A 17,008-nucleotide genomic window follows, 5' to 3' on the forward strand; every position below is an offset into this window, starting at 1 on the left:
ATGTAGCAACAAACACAAGGACACTGATCCCTTGGAACTGAATACAGGGCACTGGTGGAGTCTCCTTACTGTGCTAGTGCTGCAGCTCTGGGGCAAAAATCTTACCTGTCAAGGCTGATGTTCAGATTCTAAAAACACCACAACGACAGTGCATAGTGCATATACCCCTGGTTTATTGATTGGATTTTATTATTTCCTACTGACCAGAGAATTTAAATTTAAGAGTACTGTTTTTAATTATGTGTGTATAACAAGTAACACAACCCATACCTATTTCATTTTAGTTTCTGAATACAAAATAGGGCATATTTTCCCTAATGTATGTTGCAATCAAACCAAAGATTTTTGTTGTTTCGGAGGAAATGCAAGTACCTCATGAGAAAAAAGTTATTTGCTAATGTCATATTTTTGTCCAAGTTTTTATTTCATATGAAAAATGATTTTACCAAAAGCATAGAAATAAAACCTGGATCCTGCTGCCTTTCTTATGTTCTTAATTTCTAATGTTACCTCTTTGTTAGTATGACCCTTGAGTAGAGCAAGAATAATGACTTTGTATAACGGATATAATAGTATAAATTTGAAGATACCCAGAAAAGATATGACCTGGGAGTCATGTAATTCAGATAAAACTACATTCAAACTAACAATAGGTTCTATATAAATAAGAAATCTGTATATAATACAATAAACTGAAGTCTAATTTGTAGTTAATTAGTGATACTTTGGGCGATTCATATAGAAGTTATATGTCTTGTATAGAAATGTAAAATCCACTATGACACTTACACGTGGAGGCATAGCAAAACCATCAGGAGACTTCGAATCAGGTAAGTATTAGTCCGCTTGCAGTTTTGCTAGTCACTGTCTGTGTGACTTTTCTCAGGTCAACTGAACTTTCTGAGCTTCATCCTCCTCCTGTGTAAAGTAGGAAGAAAAATATCCATTTCATAAAGTTATTATAAAAATTAAATGAGGCAATGTTTATAAAATATTAACATCACAGTGCTGAGAAAATTCAATTACTTTACAAAGTTTGACAACATTCCTGAACCCTGAAGAGGAATATGTTTTTTGTTTTCCTATGAGGAAAACTTATTTTTTTTTTTAACTTTTATTTTGAGTTCAGGGATACATGTGCAGGTCTGTTATATAGGTAAAGTCGTGTCACAGGAGTTTGTTGTGGTGGATTATTTTGTCACCCAGGTATAAGCCTAGGACCTGTTAATTATCTTTGCTGAACCTCTCCCTCCTACCACCTTCCACCCTCTGGTAGGTCCCAGTGTCTGTTATTTCCTTCTTTGTGTTCATGAGTTCTCATCATTTAGCTCCCACTTATAAGGGGGAACACGAGGTATTTGGTTTTCTGTTCCTGTGTTAGTTGGCTAAGAACAATGGCCTCCAGATCCATCAATGTTTCTACAAGGGACATGATCTTGTTCTTTTTTATGGCTGCATAGTATTCCATGGTGTATATGTACTGCATTTTCTTTATCCAGTCTACCATTGATGGGCATTCAGGTTGATTTCATGTCTTTGCTATGTGAATAGTGCTGCAATGAACATATGTTTGCATGTGTCATTATGATAGAATGATTTATATTCCTTTGGCTACATACCCAGTAATGGGATTGCTGAGTCAAATGGTAGTTCTGTTTTTAGCTCTTCAAGGAATCACCAACTGTTTTCCACAATGGTTGAACTAATTTACACTCTCACCAACAGTGGATAAGCATTCCTTTTTCTCCATAACCTTGCCAGCATCTGTTATTTTTTGGCTTTTTAATAATAGTCATTCTGACTGATGTGAGATGGTATCTCACTGTGGTTTTGATTGGCATTTCTCTAATGATCAGTGATGTTGAGCTTTCTTTCATGTTGGCCACATGTACGTTGTGTTTTGGAAAGTGTCTGTTCCTATCCTTTGCCCACTTTTTTTTTTTTTTTTTTTTTTTGAGACAAAGTCTCACTCTGTCGCTCAGGCTGGAGTGCAGTGGTGTGATCTCGGCTCACTGAAACCTCTGCCTCCTGGATTCAAGCGATTCTCCTGGCTCAGCCTCCCAAGTAGCTGGGACTACAGGCACAAGCCACCACACCCAGCTAATTTTTGTATTTTTAGTAGAGACGAGGTTTCACCATGTTGGCCAGGCTGGTCTCAAACTCCTGACCTTGTGATCCGCCTGCTTCAGCCTCCCAAAGTGCAGGGATCACAGGCGTGAGCCACCACCCCCAGCCTGCCCATTTTTAAATGGGGTTGTTTTTTGCTTATAAATTTGTTTAAGTTCCTTATAAATAGTGGATATTAGGCCTTTGTTAGATGTATAGTTTGTAAATATTTTCTCCCATTCTGTAGGTTCTGTTTACTCTGTTGATAGTTTCTTTTGCTGTGTAGAAGGTCTTTAGTTTAACTAGATTCCATTTGTCAACTTTTGCTTAAATGGGGTTGTTTTTTGCTTATAAATTTGTTTAAGTTCCTTATAAATAGTGGATATTAGGCCTGTGTTAGATGTATAGTTTGTAAACATTTTCTCCCATTCTGTAGGTTCTGTTTACTCTGTTGATAGTTTCTTTTGCTGTGCAGAAGGTCTTTAGTTTAACTAGATTCCATTTGTCAATTTTTGCTTTTGTTGCAATCACTTTTGATGTCTTCATCATGAAATCTTTGCTTGTTCCTATGTCCAGAATGGTACTGCCTAGATTGTGTTCCAGGGTTTTTAATAGATTGGGTTTTACATTTAAGTCTGTAACCTATCTTGAGTTGACTTTTGTACATGGTGTAAAGAAGAGGTGCAGTTTCAATCTTCTGCGTCTGGCTAGCCAGTTATCACAGCACCATTTATTGAATAGGGAGTCCTTTCCCCATTGCTTGTTTTTGTCAGCTTTGTCGAAGATTAGATAGTTGTAGGTGTGTGACTTTATTTCTGGGCTCCTAATTCTGTTTCATTGGTCTATGTGTCTGTTTTTGTACCAGTACTATGCTGTCGTAATTACTGTAGCCCTGTAGTATAGTTTGAAGTCTGGTGGCATGATGCCTCCAACTTTGTTCTTTTAGCTTAGAATTGCCTTTGCTATTTGGGCTCTTTTTTGGTTCCATATGAATTTTAAAATAGTTTTTTATAGTTCTGTAAAGAATGCCATTGATAGTTTGATAGGAATAGCACAGAATTTATAAATTGCTTTGGGCAGTGTTCTCATTTTAATGATATTGATTCTTCCTATCCATGAGCATGTAATATTTTCCCCTTTGACTCGTCTCTGATTTCTTTGAGCAGTGTTTTGTAGTTCTCCTTGTAGAGATCTTTCACCTCCCTGGTTAGCTGTATTCCTAGGTATTTTATACTTTTTGTGGCAATCGTGAATGGGATTGCATTCCTAATTTGCCTCTCATCTTGACTGTTGGTGTATAGGAATGCTAGTGATTTTTGTACTTTGATTTTGTATTCTGAGACATTGCTGAAGTTGTTTCTCAGCTTAAGGAGCTTTTGGGCTGAGACTATAGGGTTTTCTAGATATAGGATTATGTCATTTGTAAACAAGGATAACTTGACTTCCTCTCTTCATATTTGGATGCCCTTTCTTTCTTTCTCTTGCACAGTTGCTCTTGCCAGAGCTTCCAATACTATGTTGCATAGGAGTGGTGAGAAAGGGCATCCTTGTTTTGTGCAGGTTTTCAAAGGGAATCCTTCTACCTTTTGCCTATTCAGTTTGATGTTGGCTGTGGGTTTGTCAAAGATAACTTATTACTTTGAGGTATGGTCCTTCGATACCTAGTTTCTTGAGAGTTTTTAACATGAATTTTATCAAAAGCCTTTTCTGCATCTATTGAATCATGTGGTTTTTGTTTTTAGTTTTTATGTGATGGATCACATTTATTTATTTTCATATGGGACCTTGCATCCCAGGAATAAGGCCCACTTGATTGTGATGGATAAGCTTTCTGATGTGCTTCTGGATTTGGTTTGCCAATATTTTGTTAGAGACTTCTGCATCAATGTTTATCAAGGATATTGGCCTGGGGTTTTCTTTTTTTTTTAATTGTGTCTCTGCAAGATTTTAGTATCAGGTTAATGCTGGCCTCATAGAGTGAGTTAGAGAAGAGTGCTCCTCCTCAATTTTTTGGAATAGTTTCAGTAGGAATGGTATCACCTCTTCTTTGTACATCTGGTAGAATTTTGCTGTGAATCCATGGTCCTGGGCTTTTTTGGGTTGGTAGCCTATTACTGATTCAATTGCAGAGCTATTTGTCTGTTCAGGGAATCAATTTCTTCTTGGAGCAGTCTTGGGAGGGTGTATGTGCTCAGGAATGTATCTGTTTCTTCTAGATTTTCTAGTTTGTGTGCACAGAGGTGTTCAAAATATTCTCTGATGGTTATTTGTATTTCTGTGGAGTCAGTGATAATATCCCCTTTATCATTTCCAATTTTGTTTATTTGGGTGTTCTCTCTTCTCTATTAGCTATTAGTTTAGCCAGTGATCTATCGATTTTATTAATTTTTTCAAAAATCTAACTCTTGAATTTGTTGATATTTTGAATTTTTTTGTGTGACTCAATCTCCTTCAGTTTGGCTCAAATTTTGATTATTTCTTGTCTTTTGCCAACTTTGGGGTTGGTTTTCTCTTTGTTCTCTAGTTGTTTTAGTTATGATGTTGCATTGTTAAGATATTTCTAACTTTTTAATGTGGGTATTTAGTGCTGTAAGTTTCCCTCTTAACACTGCCTTAGCTGGATCGTAGAGATTCTGGTATGTTGTATCTTTGTTCTCATTAGTTTCAAAGAGCTTCTTGAATTCTGCCTTAATTTCATTATTTACCCAAAAGTCAGTCAGGAGCATTTTATTCAATTTGCATGTAATTGTATGATTTTTAGCAATTTTCTTAGTCTTGATTTCTAATTTTATTGCACTGTGGTCTGAGAGAGTGGTTGTTATAATTTCAGTTCTTTTGAGTTTGTTGAAGAGTGTTTTATTTCCAATTATATAGTTGATTTTAGAATATGTGTCATGTGGTTAGAAGAAGAATGTATATCCTGTTGTTTTGGGGTGGACAGTTCTATAAATGTCTATCAGGTCCATTTGATCCAGTGCAGATTTCAGGTCCTGAATATATTTGTTAATTTTCTGCCTTGATGATCTGTCTAATACTGTCAGTGGGGTGTTGAAACCTCCCACTATTATTGTGTTGAAGTCTAAGTCTCTTTGAATGTGATACAGTTTGGATCTGTGTCCCAACCAAATCTCATGTTGAATTGTAGTCTCCAGTGTTTGCAGGTGGGACCTGGTAAGAGGTGACTGGATCATGGGGGCAGATTTCTTATGAGTGGTTTAGCACCATCCTCTTGGTGTTGCTCTCATGATAATGAGTTCTTATGACATCTGGTTGTTAAAAAGTGTGCAGCACCTCCCCTCACTCTCTCTCGCTCATGCTAAAGGCATGTGAAATGCCTCACTTCTCCATTGCCTTCCACCATGATTAGAAGTTTCCTCAGGCCTCCCCAGAAGCAGAAGCCACTATGCTTCCTGTACAGCCAGTGGAACCATGAACCAATTAAACCTCTTTTTGTTGTAAATTACCCAGTCTCAAGTATTTCTTTATAGCAGTCTGAGAACAGACTAATACAGAAAATTGGAATTGAGTGGTGGGGCATTGCTATGAGGATACCTGAAGATGTTTAAGTGACTTTAGAATTGTGTAATGGGCAGAAGTTGGAAGAGTTTGGAGACTTAGAAGAAGACAAGAAGATGAGGGAAAGTTTGGAACTTCCTAGAGACTGGTTGAATGGTTATGACCAAAATGATGGTAGTGATATAGACAGTGAAGGCCAGGCTGACGAGGTCTCAGATGAAAATAGGAACTTATTGGAAACTGGAGTAAGTGTCACTGTTGTTATGTCTTAGCAAATAACTTGGCTGTGTTATGCCCCTGTCTAGGGATCTGTGGAATTTGGAACCTGTGAGTGATGGTTTAGGGTATCTGGTAGAAGAAATTTCTAAGCAGTAAAGCATTCAAGATGTAGCCTGGCTGCTTCTAACAACCTATGATCATATGTGTGAACAAAGAAACGACCTAATGTTGGAACTTATATGTAAAAGGGGAAGCAGAGCATAAAAGTTCATAAAATTTCCAATCTGGCCATGTGGTAGAAAAGAAAAGCCCATTTTTCAGGGGAGGAATTCAAGCAGGCTGCATAAATTTGCATAAGTAAAGAGAAGCCAAGTGATAAAAGCCAAGAGAATGGGGAAAACCACCTACTCAAGCCTCAGTAATGACAGACGCCCCTTCCCCCACCAAGCTCGAGCATCCCAGGTCGACTTCAGACAGCTGTGCTGGCAGCGAGAATTTCAAGCCAGTGGATCTTAGCTTGTTGGGCTCCATAGGAGTGGGATTCACTGAGCAAGACCACTCTGCTCCCTGGCTTCAGCCCTCTTTCTAGGGGAGTGAATGGTTCTGTCTCACCGGTGTTCCAGGTGCCACTAGGGTATGAAAAAAAAACTCCTTCACCTAGCTTGGAGTCTGCCCAAATGGCTGCCCGGTTTTGTGCTTGAAACTCAGGGCCCTGGTAGTATAGGCACCCAAGGGAATTTCCTAGTCTGTGGGTTGTGAAGACCATGGGAAAAGTGTGGTATTGGGGCCAGATAACACTGTCCCTCATGGCACAGTCACTCATGGCGGCTTCCCTTGTCTAGGGGAGGAAGTTCCCCAACTTCTTGCACTTCCTGGGTGAGGCGATGCCCCACTCTGCTTCTGTTCATCCTCCGTGGGCTGCACTCACTGTCTAACCAGTCCCAGCGAGATGAACTGGGTACCTCAGTTGGAAATGCAGCAGTCACCCACCTTCTGCATTGGTCTCACTGGGAACTGCAGACCAGAGTTGTTCCTATTCGTCCATCTTGGCTGGGAACTTTTTGTGTTATCTTTAAAGACTCATCTTTAATTTGCTCAGCTTTCATGAATTCTGGAAACAAAAAGCATATCCCGTTTAGAATCCTGCAACATAAACCCAATCTAAGCACGTTATTGTTTTGTTTTTTATAAGTACTGTGTGTTCATTGTAGAAGAATTAAAACATGCAAACTAAAAAAGAAAGAATAAAAGCTATCTATTAAATCTACAAGTCAGATAATCATTGATTGCACTTTGTATAAAAATGTCTTTGTGACATTTTTTATTTGCATTTATACATAAAAACCCTTTAGTCACTCTAAAATAAATAATAACCATCTCTCTCAATCAACTGTACTTATATAATATAGGCATTATCTTTAGTTGTTTGCATATACAATAATTCATTTAACAAATCTATATTTTTAAGTATTTAGATTATTCCACTATTTTTATTATTAAAATGCTGCAATTATAATCCCATTTATATAAAACTATTTCCTTCATTCAAATTCTTGTATATAGAATTTTTTTCCTGAATCCAAGTTCATTTAAAATCCACCATTAATTTCCACATAGAACTTTATTCTAATTTCTCTACTAGAGACTTGTTTCTTTCTCTGCTTCTAAAACGTTACCTGTATACATGCGAACTCACTGTAGCTACCTTTGCAGACACGCAGCCCATAAACCTTGTTACTGTTAATGTTTCACTAACATCCAACCTCCAATTCTGTCAAGGTGCTTTTTTCTTTTAAACAATTGTAATTGCCCTAAAATAAAGTTTTTTTCTATAACTCATTTATTATTCAGACACTAATTGAAATTCTAATATGAGCAAGACATTATTGAAAATAAAGAGAAATTTAGTAACTCTCCACCCTCGGTCACGACTTACATGATTAGAACACGGGTATAATGTTGGACATTAGCAGGGTTCCTATGAAGGTAGATTTGCTCCTTTGAATATCACTCTAGTCTCAGAATTAAATTTCCATCATGGTCTCAGTTCTGTATATTACCCTGCCTGTCCTGTGTTGGACATCATGTTCTTACTCCCGAAACCTTTCCCCATTACTTGGTTCTAGTAGTTTTCATCCTGGCAGCCCCCAGAGATGCCCTACCTTGCCTAGCCCTCTGGCTGGCTTAGTCCCATTTTGAGCTAGCTTTTACTTCTTAATCCAGACCACTGTCTCACACTGAGAGATCTCCCACATATCTATATACATACTCCTTGGCTACATGGAACTTAGTTTCTATATTTCTATGCTAAGAATTGAAGTCCCAAGCTCTGGTGCAAATTCACACCTTCATTTATTCTTTCAGTATGTATTTACTGGATACCTATACTGTGCTTAGTGCCAGGTGAACAGCAAAGCAAGGAGAGAAACAGATATGGCTCCTATCCTTGTAGAGAGTGCAGCCTTGAAGGGAAGGGATTCTAGCACCTCTCATTGCAGCACTTCTCCCAGGCATTTGTTAACAGAGATACACATGTATCTATCATGCAATGTCAAATGTCATGAAGGGTATAAGCATATGTAACTGAAGAAGTATGGGCGTTCAGGAGGGAGATCTCTTCTGAATTGGGGATATCAACAGAGAATCTGATAATGATATTAAAGTTGATCTAGAATAGGTAAGATTCTTAATGGTAGAGTAGGAAAGAACATTTTCATTATCTCTCTAAGGAGTATTGATGAGAAAAACAAAATGAGAACATCTTTCCTAATTTTAACTCTTCCACTTTCTGGTCATCGATCCTTACTGGCCTGGTTTTGTCATCCGTAAGTTGGGTGAGTGATACTGCCCCGAAGTTCCACTGCAGAGCTGTGAGATCAAACCAAGATAATGTAATTGGATATATTTTTAAATTGTTCAGTGATCTACAAGCATAAGGAACATTTAAACGTTCAGCGTTAGCATTTTGGGTGTCAAGATATCAAATCATAATTAATAATTCTACCTGAAACTCATTTAAAGAAAATTCATCATAGGAAAATACAAAATACTTTCATTGTAAGTTCAGCTATTATTTTGGCAAGTGATCTTTCAAGTTAGATTGAAGTTTTATGGAGTAATTTCATAAATTATATTACTAATTGCAGTAACTCTCATTAATGTATTGAGTACTCTGATAAATACCTTACATCCAACCTTTTTGGCACCACAGGCCGGTTTTATGCAAGACAGTTTTTCCACAGGTGGGGGCGGTGTGGCAGGGAGGTTTTGGGATGAAGCTGTTCCAACTCAGAAAATCAGGCATTAGTTAGTTTCTCTTACGGAGCATGCAATCTAGATCCCTCACATCACAGTAGGGTTCATGCTCTTATGAGAACCTAATGGTGGCCTGACAGGAGGTGAGGCTCAGGCAGTATTGCTCCCTCACCTGCTGCTTATCTTCTGCTGTGCAGCCTGGGTCCTAACAAGCCTGATTACCTGTTCGTGGACTGGTTAACAGTTCGTGGACTTGGGGTTGGGGACCCCGGGCTTATATGTATTATCTTATTAAATTCTCATCACAACACAGTCAAAAAGAAACCACAGTCTTTTTATTTTACAGACAAGTATATTGAGTCTTAGCGAATTTGTGTGACTTGTCCAGTGTCACTTCAATGTTAAGTGATATAACAAGGATTTAAACACAAAATTCTAAAACTCAGCAACCTATAACCACAAAAGTACAAATAGTACTCCATCAAATAATTTACTTTTCAATTTTTAAGAGCTACTGTAATGATAATGGTGGTGATAGTTGCAAAGTCAGAAGTTGGGCTGACTAGACTACAATGTTGAGGCTCAGAAGACCTAGACAGGTAACCCGAGGTCACACTTTACTTTCGTAATCTATTACTGTGTCACAGACCTTTTGCTTGAGACTTGAAATGGTAGTCTTATTTTGCTCACATTTTTGGTGGTCTGGAATCCAGGAAGAGCCTGCCTGGGTGTCTGTCTCTAATTCACATGGTATCAGCTAACGCAGCTGGGGCTTGAGGAACCACTTTCAAGAAGGCTTCTTTATGACACATTCCGCACCTCAGTTTCCTTGACCTCTCTTGTTCTCCACATGGTCTCTCATCCTCCAAGGTTTGTCCACATGGCGTGGGCTTCTCACAGCGTGGCGAGCTCAGAGTATTTGTACTCCTTAGATGGGGACTGACATCCATAAGGCACAAAGCACGTATGCCAGGCCACTGAAGGCCAATGGCCCAAACTGGCAGGGCATCATTGCCACTATGTTCTATTGATTAGAGCAGTTGCAGTGCCTGCCCAGATTCAGAAGCTGGAGACATGGACACCAACTTATGGGGGATTGTGGAAAACTCACATCACAAAAGAAAATGTAGGATAAGAGTTCCTATTAGAGATACCTTTGAGAAATACAATCTACCACACAGATTTGATCAGTGGCTGAGGTCAAGTATTTCAAGTATCTAATACCAAGGATTAAATTCTTCATTTTTGCATTACACTGAAACTTAGACAGCCTAGCAGAACAATGATCAATGGACCTATTTTTAAAAATTCAGCATGACATCAACACATGCCACTGCTGATAAGCTGACATTCACATTTCCATCAAACTTCTTCAGAAGATGACAGTTTCTGTTCCGCTGAGTACACTGAATTTGCTACTTTTGCCTGCAGTCCTTGCATTCATGCCATGGCTCCACCCTCTTTTAAATGCATAAACCTAGTGGATTCAGGACTTCAGCAGTTAGGATAGGTACATTTCAGGGGTCAGAGGCTACTTAGAAATGGCATTGTTTTTAATTTTTAGGACATGCTGCATTCTTCAGCATCTTGGGGCTTAGTCATTGCCAAAATCTGCGTTTGAAAGCAGGGTTTTCTATATAAGAATGAATTCTCCACCACATGATTAAAGTTATACAGTGAACAGAGCTGCAAAATATAACTGGAACAAATTTCAAAATTTTGTTATATATAAACACTACTCATATTGAGAGGTCACTTTTTAAAAAAAGACTGGAAACTAAAGTAATGACTGTGAAACACACAGTATCTCTGTTCTGCTTGCCTCTTTGAAAGTAGTAAAATAGCTGTGTAACAATGTTTTTTAAATAGCAATTTATTTCTTGATTCTCAAACCTCTGCCCTCCACAGTACCTATTTCACTTCATGTAAAACCAGAATGCTGTTATTCATAAACTATAATGCTTCCCAGATGCCTACCTTGTAGGATGTCAGATTTAGCAAACAAAAATACAGGACATCCAATTAAATTTGAACTGCAGATAAACAATGAATAAATTTTTAATATACGTATGTTCCATGGAATACTTAGTACATACTTACACTAAAATATTCTTTGTTGTTTATCTGATATTTTAGTTCAACTGGACATCCTTATTTAATTTGCCAATTCTACTACCATGGTATAGGCCTTGTACTAGGCACTAGGAGTACTACTGTGAGTGAGTAGTGATTACTGCCCTCCAAAGACTTGTAGCTCAGTGAATTATACATTGTGAAAAGGCAATGACAGAGAAGTGGAAGAGATGCTACAAGAGATGGAAGTAAATGCAGACTGGACAGGTAAGCTAGGCTAGATGACAAAGGGCTTGAAACTATGGGCAATAAAGACTACTGAAAAAGTTTATAAGTAGTGAAGGCATAATCAGATTCACCATTTTTGAAGGCACACTTTGGCTGCAGTCTGGAAGGAGGAGCAAGATTGGACAGGGACACGCATGAGGACCCTGCAGTGATCCAGGAAGAATGTGATGAGGGCCTGAGCTAAGGGAGTAGCAGTGAAGATAGAAAGGAGTTAATAAATCCAAGCAATATTTAGTAGTTTGGATTTAGGGGTTGCCTAGCTCTTTTAATGTGTAGATTCAGGTCTTTTATATCCATAAAGCTTTCTTGGATTATAGTTTTAAGTATTAGACCTGTTGGTTGTAATTTTTTTCACCTTTGGGAACTCCAGTTGTACTAAATACTCTTGTGCATTTTTCTTTATCTGTCACTAATTTTTGGATCCTTTGTACCTGTTTATTTCTTATTTTACTTCAAATCATTTTCTTTCCTCTCTTCAATGTATTTTAAAAAATATTTTAAGTCTAATTTATGTTTCTATTAATTTTCTCCGTGGTAAATGATTTTCAGCATTTTCTCATGTAGTTATTGTTCTTTGTATATCTTCCTTTGTGACTTGTCTTTTGCCCTTTTTAAAAAAATGTGTTGTCTTTTTATTAAAGTTTAATAATCTTTATATGTTCTGAATGCAAGTTTTTTGTAGGACATATGTATTGCAAATATATTCTCTAAGGCTATTGATTGTCTACTCATTTTCTTAATAGGGTCCTTTGATGAGCAGATTTTAATATTGATGAAATAAAATTTATAATTTTTTTTCTTTTATGGTTGGTTCTTTCTGTGTCTTATCAAAGAAATGTTTCCTAGTCAAAGGTTACAAAAAATGTTTGAAATGTTCACTGTTTTAGCTTTTGTATTTGGGACTATGGTGCACCTTGAATTAAATTTTTTGTTTAAGTGGATTTTTGGTTGAAGTTCATTTTTTTCCCCACATGGATACTCAGTTTTTGCAGCAATATTTGTGGAAAAGGTTTCACCATTTGAGTTGTTTTGGCATTTTTGTTGAAAATTCAGTTGAGTATATACATGTGGGTCTCTTTCTAGACTCTCTTCCTTTAATCTATCTGTATTTCTTACACTCATACTCTCTCAGTAGTATAGCTTTACAGTTAATTCCTCCAACTTTGTTCTTATTTTTCAAGATTGTTTCAGCTAGTCTAAATACTTTGAAATTTCATGTAACTTTTAGAATTATCTTATTTCAACACAAAGCCTGTTGGATTTTGATTGATTTGAATCTACAGGTAAAGTTAGGGAGAATATCTTAGCAATATTATTGCTTAACCATAAACATAGTATATCTCTCAATTTATTTTGGCTTCCTTTAATTTACCTCAATTATTTATAGTTTTTATTTTAGAGGTCTTATATATATTTTAAATGTTCATAAGTATTTTATGTGTTTATGCTTTTTAAATATATATTTTAACATTTTAACAATTTTTGTTGCTTATGTATAAAAATATAACTGATTTATTTTTAAATCTCAGTTCTTTATTTGTAAAATGATAATGATAACTTACAAGATTGTAATAAGAATCCAAATGCATGATCTACATAAAGGACTTAGTGTTAAACACTGAACTAGGAGAAAGTGTTCAACAAATGGCATTATGGAAATAGAAGAACAGAATAGAAGATCTGCATTTTAAAAAATATATAGATATGTTCTTTAATATACGCATGTTAATTAATTTTATTCCAAACCCTTGAGGCTTAATTTAAATGAACCCTAGTGAAAAGTATAATAACACTTACAAGCTTAACAAAATAAGAAGTTTGAACTGAACAAGAAAAAAGATTAGATTTTTGTTTATTGTTTTTCAAATTCTTCTTTTATTTTTAAAATTTTAATTTTAATTTTAGATTCAGGGGGTGCATGTGCAGGTTTGTTACAAGGGTATATTGTGTGATGCTAAGGTTTGAGCTTCAGTTGATCCTATCACCCAGATAGTAAACATAGTATCAAATAGGAAGTTTTGCAGCTCTTGACCCTTTTCCTCTTTCCATCCTCACCAACATGTTATCTTTTGGCTTTTTAATGATAGCCATTCTGACTGATGTGGGATGGTATCTCACTGTGGTTTTGATCTGCATCTCTATGATGATTAGTGATGCTGACCATTTTTTCATATGTTTATTGGACACTTGTATGTCTTCTTTGGGGGTTATTTGTTTTATTCTTGACTTAAGTTCCTTGTACATTCTGGATATGAGCCCTTTGTTAGACGCATAGTTCGCAAATATTTCCTCTCATTCTGTATGTTATCTGTTTATTCTTTTGCTGTGCAGAAGCTCTTTAGTTTAATTAGGTTCCACATGTCAAGTTTTGTTTTTGTTGCAATTGCTTTTAAAGACTTAGTCATAAATTCTTTGCCAGGCCGATGTCCAGAATAGTGTTTCCTAGGTTTTCTTCTAGGATTTTTATAGTGTGAGGTTTTATATTTTAGTCTTTAATCTTTCTTGAGTTAATTTTGATATATAGTGAGGGATAAGTGTACAGTTTCATTCTTTTGCATATGATTAGCCAATTCCCCCAGCATCATTTATTGAATAGGGAGTTTTTTCCCCATTGCTTATTTTTGTTGATTTTGTCAAAGATCAGTTAGGTGTAGGTGTGCAGCTTTATTTCTAGATTCTCTAATCTTTTCCATTAGTCCATGTGTCTATTTTTGTCCCAGTACCATGCTGTTTTGGTTACTGTAGCCTTGAAATATACTTGAAGTCAGATAATGTGATGCCTGTGGTTTTGTTCATTTTGATTAGGATTGCTTTGGCTATTTGTGCTCTTTTTTGATTCCATATGAATTTTAGAATATTTTTTCTAATTCTGTGAAAAATGACATTGGTAATTTGATAGGGATAGCATTGATTCTGTATCCTGTGGATTTACTAAATTCATTTATTAACTCCCATTGTTGTTTTGTAGATGCCTTTGGACCTTCTAAATTGAGTATCATTTTATCTTAAAATAAAGAGAGTTTTATTTCTTTCTTTTCAATTTATATATATATATTTTTTCTTGCCTTATTTCATGGTTAGTTCTTTGTTGGGAACAGGCCCCCCAAAATCTGGCCATAAACTGGCCCCAAAACTAGCCATAAAAAAAATCTCTGCAGCACTGTGACATGTTCATGATGGCCATAATGCCCACACTGGAAGGTTGTGGGTTTACCAGAATGAGGGCAAGGAACAGCTGGCCCACTCAAGGTGGAAAACCACTTGAAGGCATTCTTAAACCACAAACAATAGCATAAGCGATCTGTGCCTTAAGGACGTGCTCCTGCTGCAGTTAACTAGCCCAATCTATTCCTTTAATTCAGCCCATCCCTTTGTTTCCCATAAGGGATACTTTTAGTTAATTCAATATCTATAGAAACATGGCTAATGACTGGCTTGCTGTTAATAAATATGTGGGTAAATCTCTGTTCAAGGTTCCCAGCTCTGAAGGCTGTGAGACCCCAGATTTCCCCTTTCACACCTCTATATTTCTGTGTGTGTGTCTTTAATTCCTCTAGCGCCACTGGGTTAGGGTCTCCCTGACTGAGCTGGTCTTGGCAGTTCTTGTTGTACAGGTTAGTACAATGTTGAATATAAGTGGTAAGAATTCGGGGTAAAATGTTCAGTCTTTTACCATTAAATATACTGTTAGCTGCAAATTTTTGTAGATGCCCTTGGTCAGATTGATAAGCTTTCTTTTCATTTTAGTTTTCTGAGATTTTAAACAATCATAAATAGGTATTGAATTATGTCCAGCGATTTTTTTGGATCTAGTAAAATGACCATATAATTTTTGTTTTGTTCTGTTAATGTGGTGAATTACATTGTTTAACTTTACAACATGAGACCAATCCTGGGATAAAAAATCCTTAGTCTTGATGTGTTAAACTTTTTACATATTTCTTGATTTGATTTGCTAATATTTTATGATTCAGGGATTATTTATAAATGTGCCACTTGATTGCTAAACATTTGGAACTTCTTGTTTTTTTCTTTAGTTTTTTCAGTTTTTTATTCTGTATTTAGAAGCTCTATTATTAATCTGTATGCACATAATAAATTTTGCATTTAAAAAAATAAGTGGCCAAATAGTAAACAATTTAGGTTTTGGGTGTCATACTGTCTCTGTCACAACCCACATCTGTCTTTGTAGCTCTAAAGTAGACAAAAACAATATGTAATCAAATAAGGATGGCTGCATTCATAAAACTTCATTTAAAACAGAAACAGGTACAACAATTAACTCAAGATGGATTAAAGACAGAAATGTAAAACCTAGAACCATAAAAACCCTAGAAGAAAACTTAGGCAATACCGTTTAGGACATAGGCATGGGCAAAGACTTCATGACTAATTCACCAAAAGCAATGGCAACAAAAGCCAAAATTGACAAATGGGATCTAATTAAACTAAAGCGCTTCTGCACGGCAAAAGACACTAGCATCAGAGTGAACAGGCAAACTACAGAATGGGAGAAAATTTTTGCAATCTACCCTTCTGACAAAGGCCTAATATCCAGAATCTACAAGGAACTTAAACAAATTTACAAGAAAAAAATACACAACCCCATCAAAAAAGTGGGCAAAGGATATGAACAGACACTTCTCAAAAGAAGACATTTATGTGGCCAACAAACATATGAAAAAAAGCTCATCATAACTGGTCATTAGAAAAATGCAAATTAAACCACAGTGAGATACCATCTCATGCCAGTTAGAATGGCAATCAATTGAAAAGTCTGGAAACAACAGATGCTGGAGAGGATGTGGAGAACTAGGAACACTTTTACACTGTTGGTGGGAGTGTAAATTACTTCAGCCATTGTGGAAGACAGTGTGGTGATTCCTCAAGGATCCAGAACTAGAAATACCATTCGATCCAGGAGTCCCATTACTGGGTATATACCCAGGGATTATAAATCATTCTACTATAAAGACACATGCATACATATGTTTATTGCAGCACTATTTACAATAGCAAAGACTTGGAACCCACCCAAATGCCCATCAATGATAGACTGGATAAAGAAAATGTGGCACGTATACACCATGGAATACTATACAGCCATAAAAAAGAATGCGTTCATATCCTTTGCAGGGACATGGATGAAACTAGAAACCATCATTCTCAGCAAACTAACACAGGAACACAAAACCAAACACCGCATGTTCTCCTCATAAGTGAGAGTTGAACAATGAGAACACATGGACACAGGAAGGGGAACATCACACACCAGGGCCTGTCAGGGTGTGGGGGGAAAGGGGAGGGAGAGCATTAAGACAAACACCTAATGCATGTGGGACTTAAAACCTAGATGACAGGTTGATGAGTGCAGCAAACCACCATGGCACATGTATACCTATGTAAGAAACCTGCACGTTCTGCACATGTATCCCAGAACTTAAAGTAAAATATAAAAAATGAAAGAAACAGGTAGCAGGCCAGATTTGGTTCACAGACTGTTATTTGCTCATTCGTGAAACAGAATTGATATGTCTTTTAATGAATAAAC

General features: G+C 36.7%; 1 long non-coding RNA gene across 1 annotated transcript in view; it reads right to left on the reverse strand.

The window, feature by feature from the left end:
- Positions 1–17,008, reverse strand: part of LOC105375633 (uncharacterized) — a 101,755-nt gene that overhangs the window by 12,191 nt on the left and 72,556 nt on the right. Inside the window, exons 2-3 of the long non-coding RNA XR_928389.4 lie at positions 6,832–6,952; positions 790–918 (exon numbers count right to left, since the gene is read on the reverse strand). This is a non-coding gene — a long non-coding RNA (uncharacterized LOC105375633). The remainder of the gene's footprint in view (positions 1–789; positions 919–6,831; positions 6,953–17,008) is intronic.

Source organism: Homo sapiens, chromosome 8 (genome assembly GCF_000001405.40).
Source record: "Homo sapiens chromosome 8, GRCh38.p14 Primary Assembly".
Taxonomy (NCBI): domain Eukaryota; kingdom Metazoa; phylum Chordata; class Mammalia; order Primates; family Hominidae; genus Homo; species Homo sapiens.